This window comes from Homo sapiens, chromosome 21 (genome assembly GCF_000001405.40).
Source record: "Homo sapiens chromosome 21, GRCh38.p14 Primary Assembly".
In the NCBI taxonomy this organism is placed as follows: domain Eukaryota; kingdom Metazoa; phylum Chordata; class Mammalia; order Primates; family Hominidae; genus Homo; species Homo sapiens.
In genome coordinates this window covers 34,228,339-34,256,143 of record NC_000021.9, presented here as the reverse complement: position 1 = coordinate 34,256,143, position 27,805 = coordinate 34,228,339, and positions in this window count along the sequence as shown.

Genomic DNA, 27,805 nt, shown 5'->3' with positions numbered 1-27,805 from the left:
AAATGAAACCTGTATGCAAACAAAATTAGAACACACATTAAGCAATGCTGAGGGTAGAAACTGATGTCTCCAGAACACATGAATCCATATCTTTCACTGTCTGCCTTCTCCACAGACCCAGGCTAAAACATGGATAGAGTCATTAAGTATCTACACAGCATTATATGAAAAAAATTACAAAAGTACAAATATTTACTGATCAAGAAAATCCTCTTGCTATTCTTCTATTAAAAATTTATAACTTTGGTTAAATATTACTCTGTTTTTTCTTCTTTGTTAGAATCCAAATACTTTTGGGCAGGAATTTGCCTGACCCTGAAGAGCCACATTCAAATCTAGGTGAGAACAAAACATATCACTCAGGGCTCCTGGACTTGCAGCTGCATATAGTAACTATGCGGATTTTAACTTGACTGCCTTTGGGAAGAGAAGACATATAAATTTCATTAGGAAAGGCTAGGTTTCTAGCTATAAATGTGGGAAGATGGATGTGTGCATGTGTGCTGTAGGACTAAGAAGTGGAATACTGTGGGCATCTGTTGTTTTGTCTGTCCTGCACCCCATTTCCTTTGTGGGACCTTCTTCTCTTCCATACCAGTCATATGATTATGGACAGAGAGACAATCCCAGCAACCCAACACCATCTCTCAGCACAGAACAGGGCAACCAACACAGTCCCTGATGATCAAAGTACCAAATTATTCTAACTACAAGGGCTGGTGCAAGTGTAATTCCTTCTTTGGTATTTTTCAATTGAAGCTGGGATAAAATCATTTTAGAAGACAGAAGATCCCAGGATGAAATGCAGAATGTAGAGGAATAAGGTACAGTAACTTTGGAAGTGAGTGGAGTCTGTAAGACTGAAGGTTAAGGAACTGTACATAAGCCCAGAACTGTACTCTAGCTGATAAAGTCGTTTCCCATGAGGGTACAGTTAACAACTTTGAAATCATTATATATGCATACTGAAACTGAACAATTAAGTAAATGGATAGCAGATGGTAAAAGCTAGGTTTCTTAATGTTAGAGTGGGAGGTTACAGACAGGAAAGGGAAAGAGGCTAGAATGATCTATGTAGTAATAGATTAGAGTCGGAGACATCAGTATGAACACATATTTGGCTTAATATAGATACAAGTAGTTACATATAAAAATATTTAAGATATGTGTAAATACACAAGTTAGTATACCACACATACATATATCCTTACTCTGTCAGTTGAGGGGGCCTAGATTCAATGACCACTTAGTTGCAACGAGCACACCTACCACCTAGATCTTGGTTTCTAATAGCATTCTCCAATAAAAGGAACCAGGCCTCCTTAGAGAACTGGCTGCTTCTAGGACTGGAGCAAGAAAGATACCTACAAAATAATCCTGGGACATCTTGTAGGGCCAAAAAAGTAAGAAAGTGCTCAAGACAAAAGCAAGAACAAAAACCCCACATTTCTATGTCAAAGGGACACAGGAACTAACCGAAAGAGCTCTCAATGGCCAAAGGTGGAACAATTTGAGCAACAAAATTAGAAAGTAGTATTGGATGATAACCCAATGTATAAAATAAATATCAGTGAGATCATACTAATATAAATAAGTGCCCAGATCAATACACGGGGGAGAATGAGTAAATCTCTTGTGCAGAAGAATTCCAAATAATTTCCGTAGGGTGGAGTACACCTCAAGAAGGCAAACAGTTCTCCACTCCTTAAGTGTGGGCTGTACATAATGACTTCCTTCCAAAGAGTGCAAAATGGAAAGGGGAGAAAAAGAGTAACTTTACAATGTGCAAATATGAAAAAAACACTGCCTCAACCATGTGGTCAAGGTTAAAATCAGCAGTGATAAATCATGTTGATAGTCTGTACATCTGACATGATGTAATGAGAATGGTATTTTACTTCTGTGGTCTTCCTCCCCAAATACAATAACCTTAGTCTAATCATGAGAACAACATCAGACAAATGTCAGCTGAGGAACAGGCTACAAGATACCTGACCAGTACTTCTTAAAACTGTGAAAGTCATCACAAAGAAAATCTGAGAAACTCTCACAACCAAGGGGAGCCTAAGAATTCACAATAATTAAATGCAATGTGGCATCCAGGATAGAATCCTGGGACAGAAAAGAGATATTAGAGAAAAACTAAGGAAATCTGAACAAAGGGTTGACTTTAATTAAAAATAATGCCTTAATATCTGTTCATTAATTGTGACAAATGTATCATACTAATGTTAATTAGTGAACATGTAAAATATTAATAAGAGGGAATGTGGGGCACATAGAAATTCTAGGCTATCTTCACAACAATTCCACAAATCTCAAATTATTCTAAAATTAAAAGTTTATTTTAAAAAATAACCCAATATCAGCAGAGCCATCTTTCTCTGGTGTGGCATCTCCCTGGTGTGGGAAGAGGGGAGGAGAGGTCTGAGCCCTCCCCAGCTGGCCATGACTGACCTGACTACTCCCCATTCTTCTTGGCCTCTGTTGTTTCTAGACTTCCTGTTCAAGGTCCCCCAGATCTGTTCCTTGGATCCACCTGGGTTCCCCTTCTTCCACCATTCTTTGGCACAAGACCCAGCTGGGACTCCCCTTGTCCTTCACATCATTTTCTCCAGGTGTCCCAGGCATGACGTTCATGGTTAATGTGAGCCCTCACTCAATGCCAGTAAATACTTAGAAATATTGTGTTGTGACACACCCACCTCTGCTCCGCTCTGCTTCTGCCCATTTTAGTAGGAGGAGCTATTTTTCTACATAAGACACTGCGAGGGATTTACCAAGAAAGAAGACCTAAAGTTTTCTCAGACTCTGAAGACCTAGAACATTCTCAGGCTCTAAAGTTCCAACATGCCCCTGCCCTTCCCCCAAGGCAATGCACAAGGATCCTTTCTCATAAACAGCTGCAAATCATGCGTTTGGCCCATAAAATTTGTTCTGGCTCTAGCCTCATGCCCTAGAGTTTCCCTCTCCCTATTTCCTAGCTCTACTGCCATCACTTCTCTCTGTAACCTAAAGCATCAACTTAGTACTACAAAGACTCCAGTTAGATAGGATCTTCAACAGGGCTACAGCCATGGGTTTGCATCAGCTGCTGCTGTGTGCAAGTTGTTGCACCAGTATGCATCTGTCAAGAGGGATGTGTAGAAATCAGAAAAAAAAAATGGAAATTTCGTAAACTTTATTCTGGAAAAATAGCCAAGACATCTGGAAAAGCACCAAGGAAAGGATGCATAAAGGAAAAGGGATTCAATAGGATATATTTTGTTTCCTGTGGCTGCTGTAATAATTTACCATAAACTTGGTGACTTAAAACAACTGAAGTTTATTTTCTCATGATTCTGGAGGGCAGATTTCTGAAATCAAGGTGTCAGCAGGGCTGCGCTCCCTGCAGAGGCTCTAGGGGAGGAGACTTCCTTGCCTCTCCCATCTTCCAAAGGCTGCAGGCATTCCTTGGCTTGTGGCCACATCACTCCAACCTCTGCCACCATCTTCACATGGCTATACCCCCTTCTCTGTGTCTCTGTCTTATCATTTTCTGTCTCTTATAAGAGCATTTGTCATTAGATTTAAGACCCATCTGGGTAATCCAGGATGATCTTATCTCAAGCTGCCTGACTTTACTTAGTTATATTAATAAAGACTCTTTTTCCAAATAAGGTCACATTCAAAGAATCCAGGACATTCACATATATTTTGGGGGACCACCATTCAAACCACTTATATTAGTCTGTCCTCATGCTCCTAATAAAGACATACCCAAGACTGGGTAATTTGTAAAGAAAGAGGTTTAATGGACTCACAGTTTCACATGGCTGGGGAGGCCTCAGTCATTGCGGAAGGCGAAGGAGGAGCAAAGTCACATCTGACATGGCAGCAGGCAAGAAAGCATGTGCAGGGAAACTGCCCTTTTATAGAACCATCAGATCTCCTGAGACTTATTCACTATCATGAGAACATGATAGTGGTGGGGAAAAACCCACCCCCATGACTCAATTACCTCCCACCAGGTCCCTCCTACAACACGTAGGGATTATGGGAGCTACAGCTCAAGATGAGATTTGGGGGGGTGCACAGCCAAACCACATCACCACTCCATGGAACTTCAAAGAAAAGAGTTAAGATAACTGCCCGTCTTAAGCATGAAAAAAAAAAACAAACACCCCCAAGTGTGGTTGTTTGATGGTGAATGGATATTTTGACACATTGGGCACAAGAAGGGGCATGATACATTTGTGCTTCATTGGATTTCAACCTTGTTCACTGGAAAAAAAATGCAGAAGCCCGGGCTTCACTCCAGACCAACTGAATACAAATCTCTAGAGGATGGGGCCTGGATATCAATATTTTTCAAAGCTTCCCCCGTGATTCTAATGTGTAGCTAGGGCTACAAACCACTGGGCCAGGTGAGACAGGAAGAGTTATAGACCCCATTGTTTTTGTTGCAAAGCTCCTAACCCACCCTGGGAGCAAGTGGAAGAGAGCCCTGTCCCCCCTTTAAACCCACTGCCCAAGCAGGCATTTCTCAGTATTCAGCCGCTAGAGATGTGTCCTAGGGACCTGCCTCTCCAGAACTGGGTGGAGTTGACTTTCTCAGCTTCTCTTTTGCCAGTATCTGTGTGGCCTCCCAGACCCATGTGCACACACATGCACACACACACACATTGTTCTTTTACCATAAGTGATTCCTCCCTCTTTCTGTATTTGAGATCCTCCTCCCCAAATGGGGATATTCCAGCCAGTGCTAGGAATCCCTACTAAGAACAGCATCATTTTCCTGAAAGTTCTGCCCCCAATGGAAACCACATCTTTACCTCATCAAACTGTTTCTTTTCTAATTAGTGTGTACATGAAGTGCTAGATCCAATGAGAAAGACACGAGTCAGCTCATTAGAGTTCTCAGGTTTATATTGAAAGGAAAATTAGATCTGCATTTATCTAAAGCAAATACATACTCTCGGTCAGATAATGAAAAATGCACCAAATGGCTTTTTAAATGGAGCACAAATATGCTTTGATTGTTCTTTTTGTTTATGTTTTGTTTTGTTTTGTTTTTGAGACGGAGTCTCGCTCTGTCACCCAGGCTGGAGTGCAGTGGCACAATCTCAGCTCACTGCAACCTCCACCTCCCAAGTTCAAGCGATTCTCCTGCCTCAGACTCCTGAGTAGCTGGGACTACAGGCGCCCGCCAAAAAGCCCAGCTAATTTTTTATATTTTCAGTAGAGACAGGGTTTCACCGTGTTAGCCAGGATGGTCTCAATCTCTTTACTTCGTGATCCGCCTGCCTCGGCCTCCCAAAGTGCTGAGATCACAGGTGGGAGCCACCACGCCTGGCCGCTTTGATTGTTTTTAATGACACTCTCTTTTACGCGAGTGACATCAAAGGAAGCACCAGTTAACCAGAAGTGAAGCCAAACTGGCTTGCCTTTGAAAGGGAACAAGTAACTCACTATCCTGTAATCACCACTTAGTTAGGTCCATTGACATTTTGGCTCAAAGTGACTCCTCAGGCTTCATGCCAATTAGTCTGAAAACTGCAGGAAAACCTGAAAGAGCAATGCCCAGGCACTAAGAATGGGGAAAAGATGACTGGATGCTTCTCAAGGTTGTCATTCTGACTTAGCAAAAAGGAAAAGGGAAGACAAAGTAAGAAACACCCCCAGTTAATGCTGATCTTGGGTTGGTAAAAGAACAGGAAGAAGAGGAAAGGCCATATCAGAGTTCCACTGGGTGATGATGTGAGAACATAACATTCCCAGAGAAAAGCATCAAATAAAGAACGTTATACTCTTCTCTCTGGATCACTGCATACCAAAAGGCAATAAAAGGATAAATAGTCAATTTATAAAAGAAAATTCACAAATACTAAACCATGATGTGATGGTCATTAGTTCTACCTTCCTGGTTTTTCTGTATCTTCTCTTGGTCCCATGATAGAATCAAAGGTCCCTTGCACTTGAAGTAGGATATGGCCATGTAACTTGCTTTGGCCAATGAAATGGCAGGAGTAACATGTGTAACTTCCAGCCAGACTGTTTAATAACCTATACGTAATTTGCTACTCTCCCTTGTCTACTGCCTCAGTGACCAGCAGCGTTTCAGACGGTGGCTGCCCCACCGTCTGGCCCCTAGAATGAGGACAGGAACAGCTCAACTCACAGTGGGAATCTAGCATGAGAAAGAAATGAACTTTTGTCATTTTAAGTCACTACAATTTTTTTTTCTTTTTTTTTAGACAGAGTCTTGCTCTGTTGCCCAGGTTGGAGTGCATTGGCACGATCTCCGCTCACTGCAACCTCCACCTCCCCGGTTCAAGCAATTCTCCTGCCTCAGCCTCCCGAGGAGCTGGGACTACAGGCATGTACCACCACACCTGGCTAATTTTTGTATTTTTAGTAGAAATGAGGTTTCACTATGTTGGCCAGGCTGATCTCAAACTCCTGACCTCAGGTGATCCTCCTGCCTCAGCCTCCCAAAGTGCTGGGATCACAGGCGTGAGCCACCATGCCTGGCCATCACTACAACTTTTGAGATGTCATTACCACATCTTAATCCAATGTAACTAGATTTGTTTATATGACATGAAAGAAAATGTTCAACTTCATAAAATTCAAGTACCTATGAAACTAGCAAAAAGGAATTAAATGATCAAGAAACCAATGCTAGGAATGCTGGGTATAAAAAAAAAACCTTGTTGATAGTTATTTGATTTGATAATTTCTGGAGTGTGATCTGGTATTATCTAAAAAGAGTAAAAAAAAAAATTCACATCCTTTAGCCCAAATCCCCTCCTATGAATTTATTTTGTGGAAATAATTCAAAAGAATTGTTGAAAGTTAATTATACAGAATGGTTTACAGAAACTCTTCATAATGGTCAAAACTGAAAACATCAAAATGCCCATCAATTAGGCAAGATTAAGTAAACTGTTGCAATTAAATTATTTAATACTGGAGTGACTAAAACCTATGCAACAGTGCATATGACATAAATTCAGTGAAAAAAGTAGCCCACCTCTGCACACTAATTATAACCATAGAAAGGTTTAGCTCCTGCAGAGGAAGTACATCTTTTCACTTGAATACAAGCCCATGTGGGGAGAAATTTTCTGGATCTTGTGCTCCACCATTCTGAGTATCTGGAATAATACTTGGGACATGGAAAACATTCTGTTATATATTTGTTGAGTTGCTGAATTAATTAACCAAGTAATTACTCTTCATAAAAATTAATCTTCATAAAAACCCTGAAAATCAAACACAATGTTATTATCCTCAATTTATAACTAGAAACAAAATGTGGTTTTCAGAGGGGGTTTTGTTTTTGTGTGTGTGCATATTTTTCAATGACATCATTTCAGAATTTTTAAAGAACCCCCTCTGAGGGGAGCCTAACTCCTCAGCTCTCCTTCTCCAGATGGTCTCTCCTGAGAAGTGTTTCTTCTGTGGTACCCAAGAGGCAGGGTGAGGCTCAGAGGTACACAGAGGCTTAGAAGCCAGGCAGGGGCAGCAGGGTGCTATGCTGGGGCTCTCTTTCTTTTGTCTGAGTTTAGGTCCTGGCTCCAGCAGTTCTTTCAACTCCTCTGAGCTCAAACATAAGTATGCCTTGGAAGAGACCTTGAACGTAAAAGAACTTGTAAACAATACAGAGAGTTACACCAGCATTGGAGACCCAGTTTCCTCATCTACCTGCATCCTAGGGCAATTATAAGAATTCAAAGGAGAATGTACATGGAAGTGCTGTGTATAATTTAGAGTTTTCGGTCAAGATTTATTTTTTGGTGAGGGAATCAGGGTACCTGGATGGCAAGAGCATGAGGTAAAACTTATTGGGTGGCTGTGGCTCCCACAAGCCTGAATGATCTGTCTCCTCATCCAAGTTCAGAATGGAGTAGGGAGACAGGGGCTTCAATGGCCAGGCCAGTTTTCTACACCCTGGTGGTTGGTCCAAACTCACTTTCCTTTCTGCCACCCTCAGACATCAAGCAAAACATACACATTCAGTGCACACCCAGGAACCACCAGAGGGGCTGGTGAAAACCTGCAGATTGGCCAAGGCTTAGTCCATCCGAGCACCTCAGGTGACACCTAAAGGAGGAGATGGGTCCCAGCTGCTCCTTGCATTCGTTATCTATTGCAGTGTAACCAATCATCCCAAAGCTTAGCAGCTGAACACAACAAACGTTTACCATGCCACAATTGCTGCCAGTTAGGAATCCAGACACAGCTTTGCTGAGTGCCTCTGGCTCAAGGTCACTCATGAGGTTGCAGTCAAGCTGTCAGCCAGGGCTGCAGTTTCATCTGAAGGCTTGACTGGGGTCGGACAGATTCATCTTCAAGCTCACTCATTCAGTTTTTGGCAGATCTCACTCACTTACTGTGTGGGTCTCTCCACAGGGCTACCTTACAGCATGCTGGCTGGATTCCCCAAGGACGAGTGAGCCAGTAGAAAATGAGTACCCAAGATGGAAGGTACTGTCTTTCCTCAACCTCCCAAGTAGCTGGGACTACAGGCGCATGCCACCATGCCCAGCTAATTTTTGTATTTTTAGTGGAGACGGGGTTTCACCATGTTGGCCAGGACAGTCTTGATCTCTTGACCTCATAGTCTGCCCACTTCAGCCTCCCAAAGTGCTGGGATTATAGGCGTGAGCCACCATGCCCGGCCAGCACTGTCTTTTTATAAGTCCATCTTGGCAGTAGCGTTCCATCATTTCTGCCCCATTCCATGTGTTAGAAGCAAGTCGCTAAGTCCAGCTGACATTGGAGGAGAAGGATTTACACAAGGACATAAATACCAAGACCTGGGGATCACTAGGGGCCATTTTGGAGGCTGCCTACCACTCTACTTCTCCCCAACATTCACTTGGTAAATGAAGCAGTGCTGTTACCTCACCCAGAGGCCACACCACCTACCAGGGCTCAACAACACACTACAGATCCAGTCCTGTGACCTGAATGCCCCACATTGGCTTAGAAGTTGGCAAAATCATATCAGATCTACACCCAAGAAGAATCACCTAGGAATCTGCATTCCAGGCACATCCCACCTCTAACACTCACTCACTTACAACAGAATGACGAATTTGTTAAGAGAACATAAAGAATAGTGGTTAAGAGTGTGCATTTGGGCACCAGACTACCTGTATTTGAATCTGACTTTGCTGTTTCATTATTGTGTGACCTTAGCCAAGTTACTTAACCTCTTCTCTCAGCCTTGGTTTCCTCATCTGTAAATGGGAACTTATTTCATAGGATTGTGCTGAGGATCGAAGAAAACAATAGGTAATGCATTTAGAACAGTGTCTGGCACATAGAAAACTCTCAATACATGTCCATATTCTGTTCGTGCTGTTTGTTGTTGGAAATTAAAACAGAAAATCTATCCTGAAAAGGGGATAGGGGCTGATTATTTGCCCAAAACTCCCTCTCGGTAGTCATGAACTTCTGAATATGGTGTTCAAATATTTTTCAAAACAAAAAAGATTTTTTCCAAAGAAGGCCAAGTTCCATTCACTGCATGTTAATGCTCAGCCATCACGGCTTTGCTTAGGCCATCACAGGCCATGGAAGTGCAGGGACACAACAGTTTGTTTTGTGTGTGTCTCTCTTAATCTGCAAAACAGATGCAGCTTGGTCAGGCTTTCCTCCAAGCCATCTTCAGCAGGAATGATGCTCCACCACTCTGGCACATGGTTCTGCATTTCCAGTGGATGGGATCCCCATAAATCAAGCAACTGATTCCAACCCCAAAATCCACAGCACAGGGGTTCTTGGCAGAAAGCTCCTATTTTGTTAGCTCATGACTTTTTGACTAATTGTTGAATCCTGTAAGATCCACATTGTATGAAGTAAGATTGGGTATGACTTAAGAAAGGATTATTTTAAATACGATTTTTTCATTCACCCTGAGCATGTGTCTCATCCCTTGGTGAGTTCAAAAGCAAGAAGAGCAGGTTATGGTGAATTCTTCATGGTGGACTCCAAGCCAAAGTAGGACACCAAAACCCAGAGTGGTTAGACAAGAAGCATAGATAGTCTCACAACCCTCTGCCTGCCTGGACTCCCGACAGAAAGCACCAAGAGCCTGGGAACCACCTCAGCCTGGCCCCTCACCCCTCAGAGGTAGTAAGCCTGACACCCAGCTCCCCTGCAGCTACAAGTCACAGGGGCAACATGGCACCCAAAGTTTTGCCTCTTCATCTTTCAAGAAGCATGTTCATGTCACTGGTTCTCATTCTCTCTGGGGACCACTCTTTCTATGTGTTCCCTGCTTCCCAGATTTGGATGTCTGCAAAATAGCTGGACACCTAAAAAAAAATCAGCACTGGCTAAGTGAGCTTGGCAAAGTCACATCACCTCCCTGAATTCCAGTTTTCTTCTCTGTCAAATGAGGAAAGATGAGCAGCAGCTGACCTCCGTGGACTCCTTCGGCTCCATGTTTTCTGATTCTATACATGGACGATGGTAAGTTAAAAGCAAAAGCTCCCTGAATCCCACTGATAATTCAAGAGCATAATATCCTTGCAGGAAAACTGGGGCCAGGCCTCAAATCCTGTTTGAATTCATCCTCCCTTCCTCCTCCCACAAGATGAGACAGAGTCCTTGAGCCACTTTCTCCAGCACTGGGAAGAATGAGCCTGGAGAGTGGTTAGAAGCCTGCAGCAGCAGGGGAGGCTGCTTGTCACCAAAAAATAAATGAGTAAATAAACTAAAACCATGTGTGTATGGGTGTGTGTGCACACAGGTGTGTGAGTGTGCATGTAGCCAAATCCACCTTTTCAACAATTGTTGACGCTAAGGATAAAAGGTCTTTACTTGGGAACAGAAAAGAAAATTACTGTAAAGGACATTTTTGGGACATTGGTTAAATATGAACTTAGACTGCATATTACAGATTAGTACTGTGTTAGTGTTGAAATTTCTGAATGTAATAACTGTGTTGTGATTATGAAAATGAGTGTTCTTCATCTTAATGTTTAGAGAATGAAGGATCATGGTGTCTGCAACTTATTGTCAAATGGTTCAGTAAATGATAGTAATAAGTTTCCATATGGAAAGAGCTAGAGACTCATGTGGCAATGTTAACCACTGGTAAGTGTAGGTCAGGAGCAGGCAGATGTCCATTGCACTATTCTTGCAACTTTTCTGCAGGCTTGAAAATTTTCAAAATAAAAAGTTTAAAGTAAAATGAAATCAGAAATGTAAAAGCAAAATGTCCAGGGATTTTTAAAACATCTTCATTTGGGATTAAAGGCGGCAGATGCAGACAAGTAAGAGCCTCTGGCTCTAATTAAGTTCACCAACTCTCTTGGGATTCAGTGCGTCATGACAAGGGCCAAAAAGCTGACACTGTCAGCCCCGCACAGCTGAGTTTCACTAGAAAGGACCCAGTGAAGGGACCTGATCTGCCCTCCTGTAGCTCATGGTCAGCAGGGAGAGAAAGACAGGCCATGGGCCTTACCCGCAGTGATTAAAGGCCACCCAAATGCAGTAGGTCACCAAGATGAGTGGCCCCTCATCCCCGGAGGTGAAGGGGCTTGCTTCCCAGGGGCGTCCAATCTGACTTCCTCAAGTTCCAAACAGAGCTGCCACTAGGGCAAATCTCCTTCCTGTCTTTCCAGTAAGCATCAACATTTTTTCCTTTCTTAACCTCTGGATTCGGTCATTGGTAAGGACGAGGTCAGCCTTGGGATTCCCCAAAGCTGAGATGGACTGGGATGCCCCAGGAGGCAGGAACACTGGCCCCTTGGCCACCTGTGCCACATGGCCCAAGTCAACACCTCTGCTGACCACACCAGATCTCCAAGGATGTCAAGGAGATCCAAGACTTTGGTCCTGTTACAAGGAATTAGACAACCACAGGTACTTAGAACACCATTGCTTGCTCTCAAATCATTGTAATTGTTCTCATAAGGAAACATCATTACAGTCTGCAGAAGAGTGGGACTCTGCTGCCACACTGCATAGGAAGAGGGTGTCCCTGGTCATCTTGGATAGGGTCATGAGAGCTGCTCACAGAAAGAGGACATGAAGGATAAAGCACTCCTTGCCTGGCTCTTTCCAAACATTTTGTTCCTTCTACCAAAGTGGCAGCACTAGTTAGCCCCTAAGGCTCTAGAATCTTCTGCCCCATCTGCAGTTGCTTTATTTTCTTCTTCACTTCCCCCAGTTTTCAGGTTTCCTGTGAATTCCCTTTGGTCTAAAATACCCAAGAAAGAGTCAAGCCTGACCTCCACTTCCCAATCTTTGCTTCTTGTCCGGAGGTGGCCTGACACCTGGAAGCACCAAGGTGGCCTCTGAAGACTCCCAAAATCCCAGCCCCTCTCTCCTTGGCAAGAGAGGACCAAGTGGTTTCCCCAGGAGACCACAAGAGGGAGACAGCTTTCTCCACCAAACTTGGCAGCAGGAATGCCTATGTACCCAACCATGTGCCCAGCACAAGTGCTTGGTAAAGAGATAAATAACTTCAGAAAGCATAAAGGAGGAAAGCCAGCAGTCATGGGACCTAGTCATGGCCCCCAGAAAAATCACTCCCACTGTATCCTCTCCCATTTTCTGACTACATATAAATTCCCAACATAAATCAGCACTTTGGGTTTATTACTGGATCCATCCCAGATTTCAGACTCGTACCTCTCCCATTTTGAGATCCAAAATGTCCTTTATTGGACCCCATTACTGGCCTTCTTTTTGCCTTCCTCCTCTCCCTTCCTTGTCTGCACAGTAGTGTCCCACTGACGTGCTAAGCTGTGGCAGCCAGTGACCCAGCTGGCACCTAGCACTTCCCTGACCTGGTCCTACCCTCATGCTGGGACCACACACCTCTTTTCCTTGCCTCTATCCAGCTTGTCTGAGCTGGAGCCTCAACACCCACCCCCAGCTCATTTCACTGGTGAGCCCCAATCCCCACCCTCGCCCTATCCCTATCCTTGAAGGAAAAGTGTGTCCTTGACCACATGGGTGCCTCCTGCTGGCTATGGGAGTGAGAGGATGCAGGGCACACTTCTTCCCCAGGCCTTTGCTGCATGTACTCTGCACACAGGACTCACCATCGTTTAACACACTCCACCTTCCACCTGCCCCAGAGGATGGTCATAAGGCTTACAGGAGAAAATGTTCTTAAAAGCACCTTGAACTGTGGAAAAATATTAATAGAGGTTTGCTCATATTAATTTTTATAATTGATCTTAGCCAAAAGGCTGAGAAGCAATTAATATTATTATCAAATGGACTTTCTTTTTTAGGGCAGAGTTAGGTTCACAGCAAACTTGAGTGGAAGGTGCTAAGAATTCCTGTCTATCCCCTGCCCCAACACAGGCACAGACTCCCCTACTACCGACATCCCACACCAGAGTGGGACGTTTGCTACAAACAATGAAGCTACACTGACACATCACTATCACCCAAAGTCCAGGTTTACATCAGGGTTCCCTCTTGATGTCGTACATTCTGAGAGTTTGAACAAATGCATGACATGAATCCACTATTGTACTACCATACAAAATAGTTCCACTGCCCTAAAAATCCTCTGTGCTCCACCTATTCGTCCTTCCTTTCCCAGCCAACCTCTGGCAACCACTCATCTTTTTACTGTTTTCACAGTTTTGCCTTTTCCAGAATGTCATATAGTTGGAATCATACGTAGAGTCATGCATTTATTAACGACAGACAAACATTGTGAGAAATCAGCCATTAGGTGATGTTTTAGTTGTGTGAACATCGTAAAGTGTACTTACACAAACCTAGAGGCGTAAGCTACAACACACCTGGGCTATACCGTACATAGCCTATTGCTCCTAGGCTACAAACCTGTACAACATATTACAGTAGGGAATACTGCAGGCAATTGTAACACAATGGGATTTGTGTATCTAAACATAGAAAGGGTACAGTAAATATACAGTATTATAGTCCTATGGGATAGCCATTATGTATGCGGTCCATCATCAGCCGAAACATTGCTATCCAGTGCATAACTGTATATAGCATTTTCAGATTGGTTTCTTTCACGTAGTACCATGCATTTTAGGTTCCTCCATGTCTTTTCATGGTTTGGTAGCTAATTTCTTCTTAGTACTGAGTAATATTTCATTGCCAGGATGTATAGTTTGTTTATCCATTCACCTACTGAAGAGCATCTTGGTTGCTTCCAAGTCTCAGCAATTATGAATAAAACTGCTATAAACATCTGTGTGCAGGTTTTCGCATGGACATAAGTTTTCAGTTTATTTAGGTAAATACCACAGAGCATGATAGCTGGATCATGGATCATGTGGTGAGAGGTCGTGCTCTCATTAATTCCATTTTCAACCAAAGGCTCCATTTTCCTCAGCTCCCAGCACCATAAGGGACTTTAAAAGCCCAGTGCTGGGGTCGCTGCCCTCAGTATCTACAATTGCTTCACATTTTTTTTTGAGATGGAGTCTTGCTCTGTCGCCCAGACTAAAGTGCAGTGGGGTAATCTCGGCTCACTGCAACCTCCACCTCCCAGGTTCAAGCGATTCTCCTGCCTCAGCTTCCCGAGTAGCTGGGACTACAGGCGTGCACCACCACACCTGGCTAATTTTTTGTATTTTCAGTAGAGACGGGGTTTCACTGTGTTAGCCAGGATGGTCTCGATCTCCTGACCTTGAGATCCGCCTGCCTTGGCCTCCCAAAGTGCTGGGATTACAGGCGTGAGCCACCATGCCTGGCCTACAATTGCTTGACTTTTTAAAAGCTTTTCATTTGGGATAATTATAGATTCATATGCAGTTGTAAGAAATATTTCAGGAAGACCCCTTCCCCCAGCTTCTCCCAACAACAGCACCCTCTTGCACAACTATAGTACAATGTCACCCCCAGGAAATTGACACTAGTATGGATGGACCACATTCTGTTTAACCATTCACTCACCACAGGACATTGAGGTTGTTTCCAGGTTCTGGCTATTACAAGTAGAGCTGCTTGGAATATTTTTGTAAAGGTGTTTTTGTGTGTGAACGTAGGGTTTCATTTCTCTGGGATAAATGTTCAAGGGTGCAAATGCTGGGTCATATGGCAAGCACATGTTCAGTTCTGTAAGAAACTACCAAACTATTCCAGAGGGGCTGTACCATTTACATCCCTGTCAGCAATGTGTGAGTGATCCAGTTTCTCCATATCATTGCCTGAACCAGGTGTTATCACTAGCCATTCAGATAGGTGTGCAGTGATATCTCATTGTGGTTTAAATTTGCAATTCCCTAATGGCTAACGGTGTTGGATACCTTTTCGTGTGCTTCTGCATATTCTCTTCAATGAAAAGTTTTGTTCCTGTCTTTCCCCAATTTTCTAATTGGATTTTGGGGGCTTTTTACTGCTGAGTTTTGAGAATTCTTTATACAGTCTATACAAGTATTTTGTCCAATATGTGGTGATATGGTTTGGATGTTTGTCCCCTCCAAATCTTATGTTGAAATGTGATCCATGGGGCATGGCAGCTCACACCTGTAAGCTTTTGCAAAGATTCCCCAGTGATTCTAATGTGCAGCCAGGGCTAAGAACCACTGGGCCAGGTGAGACAGGAAGAGTTGTAGACCCCATTGTTGGGAGCTTCTCAACAAAAACTTTGGGAAGCCAAGGTGGGCGGATCACCTGAGGTTAGGAGTTCAAGACCAGCCTGGCCAACATGGTGAAACCCCGTCTTTACTAAAAAAAAATACAAAAAATTAGCTGGATGTAGTGGCACGCACCTGTAATCCCAGCTACTCGGGAGGCTGAGGCAGGAGAATTGCTTGAACCCAGGAGGCAGAGGTTGCAGTGAGCTGAGAATGCACCACTGCACTTCAGCCTGGGTAACAGAGCGAGACTGTCTCAAAAAAAAAAAAAAAAAGAAAGGAAAGGAAAAGAAAGGAAAGGAGAGGAGAGGGGAGGGGAGGGGAGGGGAGGGAATCCCCAGAGTTAAAGATGGGGCCTGGTGGGATCATTTGGGTCATGGAGGCAGATCCCTCATGAATGGCTTGGTGCCCTCCCCATTGTAATGAGTGAGTTCTCATTCTATTGGTTCCAGCAAGCATTGATTGTTTAAAAGAGTCTAGTACCTCCTCCTCTCTCTCTCTCTCTTGCTCCTACTCTTGCCATATGACACGCCTACTCCCCCTTTGCCTTCTGCCATGATTGGAAGCTTCCTGAGGCCTCTCAGAAGTCAATGCCATCACTGTGCTTCTTGTACAGTCTGCAGAACCACGAGCCAAAGTAAATATCTTTTCTGTGCAAATTACCCATCCTCAGGTATTCCTTTATAGCTATGCAAAACAGACTAACATATGTGGTTTGCAAATATTTTCTCTCAGGAGGTAACTTGTCTTTTCATTCTCTTCATGGGGTCTTTCTCAGAGCAAATATTTTTAAATTTTTTTTAATTTTAAGGAGGTAAAATTTATCAATTTTTTCTTTTATGGATCATGCTTTTGGTATCAAGTCAAGGAACATATCATTGATCACTACGTCCCCATAACTTCCTCTTACATTTTCCTAAAATTTTGTATTTTACACTTAAGTTCATGACATATTTGGAGTTAATTTTTGTCTCATGTGTGAGGTTTAGGTCGAGATTCATTTTTTTGCAGAGGAGTATAAATTGCTCCAGCATGATTGTTGAAAAGGCCATTTTTCTCCCTCTCAGTAACTTTTGCATCTTTGTCAAAACTCGGCCAGTTGCGGTGGCTCACGCCTGTAATCCCAGCTACTCAGGAGGCTGAGACAAGAATCGCTTGAACCCAGTGGGGCAGAGGTTGCAATGAGCTGAGATCATGCCACTGCATGGCAGCCTGGGCGACAGTGAGACTCTGAAATAAATTTTTTTTTTTTTTTTTTTTTTGAGACAGAGTCTCACCTGTTGCCCAGGCTGGAATGCCGTGGCGCTATCTCGGCTCACTGCAACCTCCACCTCTAGGGTTCAAATGATTCTCCTGCCTCAGCCTCCCCAGTAGCTGGGATTACAGGTGCATGCCACCGCACCTGGCTAATTTTTTGTATCTTTAGTAGAGACGGGGTTTCACCATGTCGGTCAGGCTGATCTTGAACTCCTGACCTTGTGATCCGCCGACCTCGGCCTCCCAAAGTGCTGGGATTACAGGCATGAGCCACCAGCAGATAAAAAAAGTCAATTTGACATATTTGTGTGGGTCTTCCCTTAACTTTTTCTCATCTGTTTTCCCTTACAGAAACTCCTCTGCCTGACAGAATGGCAGTGGTTGTGCCTGTCTGAAGTCTCAGAGACTCGGGATAGATAGATAGTCACTGATTCAAGCAGCCTGGGCCAAAATTCTCACCCAGTTGCAAAGCAACAGGTCTGTGGCAAATGGCATTCTAACTTAAGCAAAGCAAGAGCTGAAGATGGTTTGGGGAAGGGAAAGTGTCAATCATCCCTTAATTAGATCTTCTAAAAGTGGAAACCAGCAGTATAGGTCACTTTCCAAGAAAGTGGCAAAATGTGAATAAGTTTCCCTGCCCTAAAACACTGAGTGATTCTGAAGTCCTGAGGGTCAAGAGGAGGACAGTGTCACTAGGGTGTAACCAGATGGGTGCGAGACAATCCATTCCCAACCAGCAGCGAGGGCGAGGGTTGGGGATCATCTTTTTACTGAGTGTCTCGCAGTGTCTTGCAGTCTCAGTGTGGTATTTCTTTTCAGACATGCTTATTCTTTATTTTTTGTTTAATTATAATTTTTATTTTTGGTTCAGGGGTACATGCGCAATTTGTTATATAGGCAAATCGTGTGCACAGGGGTTAGTGGACAGATTATTTCATTACTTAGGTAATAAGCATGGTACCCAATGGGTATTTTTTCTGATCCTCTCCCTCCTCCCACCCTCCAGCCTCAAGTAGGTCCCAGTGTCTATTGTTCCCCTCTCTGTGTCCATGTGTTCTCATTGTTTACCTCCCACTTATAGGTGAGAACATGCCATACTGGGTTTTTTGTTGCTGCATTAGTTTGCTTAGGATAATGGCCTCCAGCTCCATCCATGTTGCTGCAAAGGACATGATCTCATCTTTTTATGGCTGTGCAATATTCCATGGTGTATATGTACCGCATTTTCTTTATCCAGTCTACCACTGATGGGCATTTAGGTTGATTCCATGTCTTTGCTATTGTGAATAGTGCTGCAATGAACATACACATGCATGTGTCTTTATGATAGAATGATTTACGTTCCTTTGGGTGTATACTCAGTAATGGGATGGCCAGTCAAATGGTAATTCTGTTTCAAGTTCTTTGAAGAATCATCACACCACTTTCCACAGTGGTTGAACTAATTTACACTCCCAATAGCAATGTATAAGCATTTCCTTTTCTCCACAACCTCGCCAGCATCTGTTATTTTTTGACTTTTTAATAATAGCCATTCTGACTGGTGTGAGATGGTATCTCATTATGGTTTTCATTTGCATTTCTCTAATGATCAGCGATATTGAGCTTTCTCTCACATGCTTGTGGACCGCATGTATCTCTTCTTTTGAAAAGTGTTTGTTCATGTCTTTTGCCCACTTTTTAATGGGGCTGTTTGTTTTTTGCTTGTAAATTTGTTTGAGTTCCTTTTAGATGCTGGTTATTAGGCTTTTATCAGATGCATAGTTTGCAAATATTTTCTCCCTTTCTGTAGGTTGTCTGTTTACTCTGTTGATAGTTTCTTTTGCTGTGCAGAAGCTCTTTAGTTTAATTGGGCCTTGTTTGTCAATTTTTGATTTTGTTGCAATTACTTTTGGTGTCTTTGTCATGAAATCTTCACCAGTTCTTATGTCCAGAATGACATTTCCTAGATTATCTTCCAGGGCTTTTACAGTTTTAGGTTTAACAATTAAGTCTTTAATCCATCTTGAGTTGATTTTTGTATATGGTGTAAGGAAGGGGTCCAGTTTCAACCTTCTGCGTATGATTAGCCAGTTCTCCCAGTACCATTTATTGAATAGGGAAGACTATTTCCATTGCTTGTTTCTGTCAGCTTTGTCAAAGATCAGATGGTTGTAGATGTGTGGCCTTATTTCTGGGCTCTCTGTTCTGTTCCATTGGTCTATGTGACTGTTTTTGTACCAGTGCCATGCTGTTTAGGTTACTATAGCCTCGTAATATAGTTTGAAGTTGGGTAACATGATGCATCCAGCTTTGTTCTTTTTGCTTAGGATTCTTGGCTATTCTCTTTTTTGTTTCATATGAATTTTTAAATTGTTTTTTCTTATTCTGTGAAGAATGTCATTAGTAGTTTGATAGGAGCACAAACGGCCTTTTTTTTTTTTTTCCAGACAGAGTCTCATTTTGTTGCCCAGGCTGGAGTGCAGTGGCGCAATCTTGGCTCACTGCAACCTCCACCTCCTGAGTTCAAATGATTTTCCTGCCTCAGCCTCCCAAGTAGCTTGGACTATAGGCGCCCACCACCATGCCCAGCTAATCTTTTGTATTTTTAGTAGAGATGGGGTTTCACCATGTTTGACAGGATGGTCTCTATCTCCTGACCTCATGATCCACCTGCCTCAGCCTCCCAAAGTGCTGGGATTACAGGTGTGAGCCACCGTGCCTGGCCCAGATAGGCTTTTAAACTTTTTTTCTGGTTCTTCTGGAAGTGTCAGGATAGAGCGCCCTCTTAAGAACCTCATCTGTAGCTGGAGAAGCCCAGTAGATTTGGTTCTGAGCTGAACCCAAAGCTCCTCTCTTCTGTTGCCCCAGCCTCTCCTTCATCCTACCCATTTCACCCTAAAGCTCCACATCATAACCCTTTTTACCCTAAAGCTCCACAGGGTGGGGAAGGTGGAGGGAGGGCAAACATTATAACCAGAAGCCTTGGAATGTGAGTTCATTTCATTCCAGGTCTGCATTAGAGAGGACATGCCCATCAGCACAGAGCAGTACCCCTGCACAGCAGGCAAAAGCTAAAAATCACAGTTTAATATCTTTGTTTTTAATGCCAGAATGTCAAAAATTAAGACAAATTTCTCCAAAAGCAAAATATTGGTTCTCCACAATCCCCTACTCAGGCCAAATCTCCAAACCACCTTAAAGAAATCCAGGGCTTTTCTCTGAGTGCCTCCGCATCTCCTAGAAACAAAGGCTGTTCAAGACCATGCACCTGAAGCAGATTCACAAGCTTCTTCCTGCCTTTTCCTGGACCCAGAGCAGCAGAATACCTGGCAACCAGTGTTCTTGGGGCAAAAGCTTCTAGAACATCACAGAGCAAAAATAATACATAACAAAGCCATCAGCCCTTTCGATCCCCATCCTCCCCAAGTTGTGTTCAACAGAACATCCCAGGGTGAGCTCTTGTCACAAAGCAATCTCTTCTTGCTATTCACAAGCTAGGAGGGCAATCATAACTAGATTGCCACAAACATACCACAGTTAATAAGTGACATAAATAACCATATAAATGTCAAGCTGTGAATCTGAAACTTGACAGGACATTTCAAATCCAACACAGCTTGGCACCAAAGATCATTCTCTGAATTCACACATAATCTGCTTTGTGCAGCTCTTTTGAGAAAGAGCTATTGACCCAGTAAGCATGTTATTCTCTACCGGAGATTATAGTCATTCCAAGTCAATTAACTGCATTCCAGAGACAACAGGAGGAACTTAAAATACAAGATTTGAAGGTTTGGAAGTGAGACAGAAGACAGGAAGGGGTCTTGTAAATTGCGGTTATTAATACGTTGACGTTGTCCTGGAGCTCTGAACAGCAGAAAACATCAAGCCATTTGTTTTTGTTTTTGTTTTTAAATCCATGTTGTTGCTAGAATTTTCACATGACCAAGTTAGTGGAGGCTGCCCAGGCTGATTGTAGGGCCTTTGTTACACTGGATGGCACCAACTTGGAGACTGAGTCCCCTTCACATGTGAAGCCATTCCTGGTTACAGAGTACACGTCTCTGATTCTCCAAGACTTCACCTTCTTGCTTTATATTTTAAATGGAGGTAAAATTTATACAACTTAAAATTAGCCATTTTAAAGTGTCCAATTCAGTGGCATTTTGTTCATTCACAATGTTGCACAACTACCACCTCTATCTAGTTCCAAACCATCTTCAGCACCCGAAAGAAAACTCTGTCCCATTAAGCAGTCAATCCCCATTCTCCCCTCCTCCCAGCCCCTGACAATCACAGATTGGCTCTCTGTCTCTGGATTGAGCTATTCTGAACATTTCGTATAATGAAATCATATCACACGTGACCTTTTGTGTCTGGCTTCCCTCACTTAGCATAATGATTTCAAGGTTCATCCATGTTGTAACATGTATCCGCATCTCATGCCTTGTTATGGCTGAATAATATTCCACTATACGGATTATCCCACATGCTGCTTATCCCTCCACTGGTGGACATTTGGATTGCTTCACGTTTTGGCTATTGTGAATACTGCTGTTATGAATATTCATATACAATTTCTTATTTGAATATATTTTCAATTATTTGGGGTATATACTTAGGAGTGGAATAGCTGAGTCATATGATAATTTCGTGGCTAACTTTTTGAAGAATTGTAAAACTGTTTCTCCCCCTTCTTGTTTACAGTTATGTCTTCACTTAAAAACTATGTCTTGAGCTGGTCACGGTGGTTCATGTCTGTAATCCCATTACTTTGGGAGGACAAGGCAGGTGGATCACCTGAGCCCAAGAGTTCACGACCAGCCTGGACAACATGAAGAAAACCTGTTTCTACAAAAAATTCAAAAATTAGCCAGGCAGGGTGGTGTGCACCTGTAGTCCCAGCTACTTGAAAGGCTGAGGTGAGATGTTCACCTGAGCCCTGGAGGTTGAGGCTGCAGTGAGCCGTGATCACACCACTGCACCAGCCTGGGTGATAGAGTGAGACCCTATCTGGAAAAAAAAAGTTGTGTGGTACACACAACTTTAGTATTATTTCTGAGGTTCAGAGCAAGGGAGAAGATGGAGAGGAGGCTAGCCAGTGGCTCACTTGGCTATCCTGACACCAGAAGTTTCCCGTTAAATCAATCTTCTGAAGATCTCAGGTGGAGTTCCTACGGTCCTCGTCTACTCCACACTGGTGTTAGTCCATTTTCACACGGCTATAAAGAAATACCCAAAACTGGGTAATTTATAAAGGAAAGAGGCTTAATTGATTCACAGTTCTGCATGGCTGAGGAGGCCTCAGGAAACTTATAATCATGTCAGAAGGGGAAGCAGTCACATCTATAAGGTGGAAGGCAAGAGAGAGCATGTGAAGGAGGAACTGCGAAACACTTAACACCTTCAGATCTCGTAAGAACTCACTCACTATCACAAGAACAGCACGAGGAGACCCACCCCCAAGATCCAATCACCTCCCACCAGGTCCCTCCCTTGACACGTGGGGACTATGGGGATTACAATTTGAGATGAGATTTGGGTGGGGACACAGAGCCAAACCATATCAACATCCCACATCCCCCTGCTCCTAGTGAGAACTAGGGGTGAGTGATCATAAGGGGAGGAGGAGGGCCAGAACTGATAAGGCAGTGGCCTCCATAGGAGAGTACATACACCCCGTGGGAGCAACAGACCACTCTCTGTGGGGATGCCAAAGGAAGCCATTAGAACCTCTATTTCTGTTTATTTTATCTAGAAAGTAGAAAAAAGTGAGCTTCACAGAGTGTTATAGGTTGAACGTCATTCCCCTAAAAAGCATATAATGGAATCCCAACCCCCAGTACCTCAGAGTGTGACCTAACTTGGAGGTAAAGTCTTCACAGAGATGATCAAATGAGATCAGTAGGGTGAGGCCTAATTCAATATAACTGATATCCTTATAAAAAGGAGAAATTTGGACCACACACACGTGCACACACACACACAGAGTTAGACCATGGAAGATGAAGGCAGAGGTGGGGGTGCCGTGTCCACAAGTACCATAGATTGCCAGCAACCCCCAGAAGCCAGGGCAGTGGGACCTGGAACAGATCCTCCCTCCCAGCCTCAGGAGGAACCCACCCAGTGGACACCCATGATCTCAGACTTCTGGTCTCCAGAACTAGGAGAGAATATGTTTCTGTTGTTTACACCACCTAGTTTGTGGTACTTTGATAGAACAATCCTTGTGAGCTAATATACTATATTTTATATGAAGGTGCTCATGGGTCCCCTCACTTAGTCCCTCACATGCAGGACTTGAAGCCTCTTAGGGAGTAGAACAGCCACACCTCAGAGGGACAGACAAGCCCTGGTCAGAGTGACCAGAGCAATCTACCTGCAGGCAGGTAAGTGGATTTATAGATTAGACCATCTATAGTAATGCAATCAATTCTCATGCAATGAATGGGTGGATTTAGTAGATTACTATTTTAAAAGTTGATTGGGGATTATACTGACCTGGCCACCACACAGGAAGCAAAAAGAAAAGGTGGTGCTAACTTCTCTCCTCACACTGAGACAGGGAAAGCTCCTCTGAGGCCATGCAAGGCATTTCGGGAGGCCAAGGTGGGGGGATTGTTTGGGCCCAGAAGTTCGAGACCAGCCTGGGCAACATGGTGAGACCCTGTCTCTGCAAAAATAAAAATAAAAATTAGCCGGCATGGTGGCACACACCTGCGGTCCCAGCTACTCAGGAGGCTGAGGTGGGAGGATCGCTTGAACCCAGGTTGAGGCTGCAGTGAGCTGTGGAATGCTGCAGTGAGGCTGCAGTGAGCTGCAGTGAGCTGTGGAATGCCACTGCATTCCAGCCTGGGTGACAGAGCCAGATCCTGTCTCAAATAAATAAATACATAAAAATGCATGGAGCTATTCAGATCTGACAAGAAGCCAGTCAAAAGAAGATAGAAATTCACAAGAAGACTACTTCGAATGCATATCTATAACCCTTATTGTTAACGATGAACCTTAAATCTAAATGTATATTATGCCTTCAGGTACTAACGAATGGTAATACAAAGCTGTCACAATTAGTGGCACTCAAAATATTGTTTATTTCATCTTGTTCATCCTTTTAGTTTCAATTGTATGTATGTCTTATAATTTACATAATATATAGTTGATAAGTAAACCTATGTGCCCCCCAACATTTTTGTTTTTTTGAGACAGTGTCTCGCTCTGTCGCCCAGGCTGGAGTGTAGTGGCACGATCTCGGCTCACTGCAAGCTCCGCCTCCTGGGTTCACGCCATTCTCCTGCCTCAGCCTCCCGAGTACCTGGGACAACAGGTGCCCACCACCATGCCCAGCTAATTTTTTGTATTTTCAGTGGAGATGGGGTTTCACCATGTTAACCAGGATAGTCTCAATCTCCTGACCTCGGATCCACCCGCCTCAGCCTGCCAAAGTGCTGGGATTACAGGCGTGAGCCACCACGCCCGGCCCTGCCCCCCAACATTTTACTAAATGTGTCACATAACGAGATAGGTTTGGAGACCACTGATTTAGGGCATGGGCTGCAGATAGATAAGTGACATTAGCCACCCAAAGACAGGGGGTGCTGGAGTCCTTATATCTGATCTTCAGACAGAGACAGATGCTGTTGAGCATCAGAGACATTCTGGACAAGAAAATGCCTCCAGGGATGAAGTGATGTGATCATGAGGTCTGAGAAAAAACTTCTGAGGCAGAGGAACCAACGCTAACATTTACAGAAGGTGCTGGGAGAGCTGCCTGATATGCCAGGTGACATGCAGCAGCCCAGAGCTGGAGAGGAATGTGCCTCGTGAACAGGTGCGCGACACAGCAGTGTGGACCCTGGAGGAAGGAGCTACTTCTCAGCTTTGCAAGGGCACGAAGATTTCTACCAGGAAAAGCATGCACCAGAATGGTGTCCCCTACCTGTTGCAGTGAAAGGGAACTCAGATGTTGGAAATGAACAAGCGAAGGTGACTTTTTAATGTGTTTGAAGGTTGATGAGGAGTGGACATTCTTCTAGCAAGTGCTGCCTCACAGGCTCTGGCAAGTCTCAGCAAGAGATGAACCTGGAAGTGCAAGACTTTAAGCATCCAGGGTCGGGGTGGAGCAGAGGATGGGGATAGTCAACTCTCTTCCAGAATCTAGACTCTGATCATCTTCCTTTTCTTCTCCATCTTCCTAATTGAAGCCCCTCCACCCTCCTCTGATGCAAAAGAAGAATTAAGTGGGAAAGAGCCAACCAAGCAAAGAGTTTAAAGAGTTCCAAATGAAGAGGTTAGGGGCAGGTCCTCAGGCAAGGAAGGCAGATGGAAGGGGCTTCAGGGAGGATGGAGAAATTCATAGAACTTGCAAGTAGTTGGGGACAAAATGATGAAACCCTGGAAAACTCAGGAGGTGTGCACAGTAAACCCCACACACTCATTCTCGAGCAAAGGATGAATTGGCTGGATGGGAAGTGCAACCCCCAAGTTCTTTTGACACTGTCCATTTAGGGATGTGACTCTGGGGTCCGAGGTCAAGAGGAGGTGGAACCTTCTTCATGGCACTCCGTGTAGATTTGCTCAGCACCCATCCTTTCCAATGGTGGTTTAAGCAATCTTCAGTAGTGAGGACGGGAGCCAAAGGGTATCACATTGCCAGTCACTCAACCAACCCACTAATAAGACAGGCTTTCCTGACCATTTTATCCCTGGCAGTCAAAATAGGGGAGTCAGACTTCTTCAAAGCAGTCAGGTTCTGTTGATCCAAAAAAAAAATCTAAAAAAGTTTTCATTTTTTATTGTGTTAAAATAGACATAAATAAAATTTACCACCTTAGTCTTTTTTTGTTTTGTTTTCTGTTTTTTGAGACAGAGTCTCACTTTGTCACCCAGGCTGGAGTGCAGTGGCGTGATCTTGGCTCACTGCAACCTCCATCTTCCACATTCAAGCAATTCTCATGCCTCGGCCTCCCGAGTAGCTTGGACTACAGGTGTGCACCATGATGTCCAGCTAATTTTTGTATTTTCAGTGGAGGCAGGGTTTCACCATGTTGGCCAGGCTGGTCTCGAACTCCTGGCCTCAAGCAAGCAATCCATCTGCCTCGGCCTCCCAAAGTGCTGGGATTACAGGTGTGAGCCACCATGCCTGGCCTCATCTTAGTTATTTTTAATTGTACAGTTCAGTGGTGTTAAGTACAGTCATGCACTGTATAGTGGTGTTTTGGTCGACAACAGACCACATATAAGACAGTGGTATTGTCATATACAGTATTTTTATCATATACAGTATTTTTACAGTATTATAATCTTATTTGTTTAGATACACAAATACTTATCATTGTGTTACAGTTGCCTCCAGTATTCAATACAGTGACATGCCATAGAGGGTTGTAGCTTAGGAGCAATAGGCTTTACCGTTACAGCCTGGGTGTGTAGTAGGCTATGCTAACTCGGTTAGAGTAAGTACGCTTTATGATGTTCGCACAACAAAATCACCTAATGGCACGTTTCTCAGAACATATCACTGTCATTAAGTGACATATGACTGTACATTCATTATGTTGTGCAACTATCACCACCATCCACATCCAGAACTTTGTAGAAACCAAACTCTATATCCATTGAAGAATCAGTACCTCATATAAGCGCATTCATACAGTTATTTGTCTTTTTGTGCCTGGCTTATTTCACTTGGCATAATGTTCTCAAAGTTCATCCATGTGGTAGCATATGTGAGAATTTCCTTCCTTCTTAAGGCTGAATAACATCCCATTGTATGCATATGCTATATTTGGCTCATTCCATTCATCTACGTGAATAGCCATTCACGGCTATAAACGTGGGCATACAGATATCTCTTTGAGACTCTGTTTTCAATTCTTTTGGGTATATACCCAGAAGTAGAATTGCTGGATGCTGTGGTAATTCCATTTTTAATTTTTTAAGGACCTGTCTTACCATTTTCCACAGTGGCTGCACCATTTACATTCCCACCAGCAGTGCACCAGGGTTGCCTCTACATGCTGGTCTACACTTATTCTTTCCTCCCTCCCTCCCTCTCTCCTTCCCTTCCTCCCTTCCTTCCTCCCTCCCTTCTTTCCTTCCTCCCTCCCTCCCTTCCTTCCTTCCTCCCTCCCTCCCTTCCTCCCTTCTTTCCTTCCTTCGTTCTTTTTTTGACAGTGGCCATCCTAATGGGTGTGAGGTGGTATCTCACTGTGGCTTTGTTTTGCATTTTTCTAATGATTAGTGTTGTTGAGCATCTTTTCATGTGCATATTGGCCATTTGCATATTGAGAATGTATAATGTTAGTATATTTCTATGGAGAGCAGGACATCCCAAGTGGCCTGGAGCGCATGTCTACTGCCTCAATGTGCTCTGCGCTCTCCCGGTGAGGCTCCTGATTCTGCTGTTAGTCTGTGTGATGGTTAATACTAAGTGTAGCTTGATTGGATTGAAGGATGCAAGTCTTGATCCTGGGTGTGTCTGTGAGGGTGTTGCCAAAAAAGATTAACATTTGAGTCAGTGGGCTGGGGAAGGCAGGCACACCCTTAATCTTGTGGGTACCATCTAATCAGCTGCCAGTGAATATAAAGCAGGCAGAAAAATGTGAAAAGGCCAGACTGGCCTAGCCTCCGAGCCTGCATCTTTCTCCAGGGCTGGATGCTTCCTGCTCTTGAACATTAGACTCCAAGTTCTTCCGTTTTGGGACTTGGACTGACTCTCCTCGCTCCTCAAGCTTGCAGACAGCCTATTGTGGGACCTTGTGACAGTGTAAGTTAATACTTAATAAACTCCTAGATAGATAGATAGATAGATAGATAGATAGATAGATAGATAGATAGATATCGCCTATTAGTTCTGTCCCTCTGGAGAACCCTGACTAATACAGTTTAGGAAACCCAAGTATGAACCTTCCACCATGTGGCTGTCTGCTGGGGACACTCAGTACCAACTCAGGCTTAACGTTGGAGTGGAACCACAGATGCCC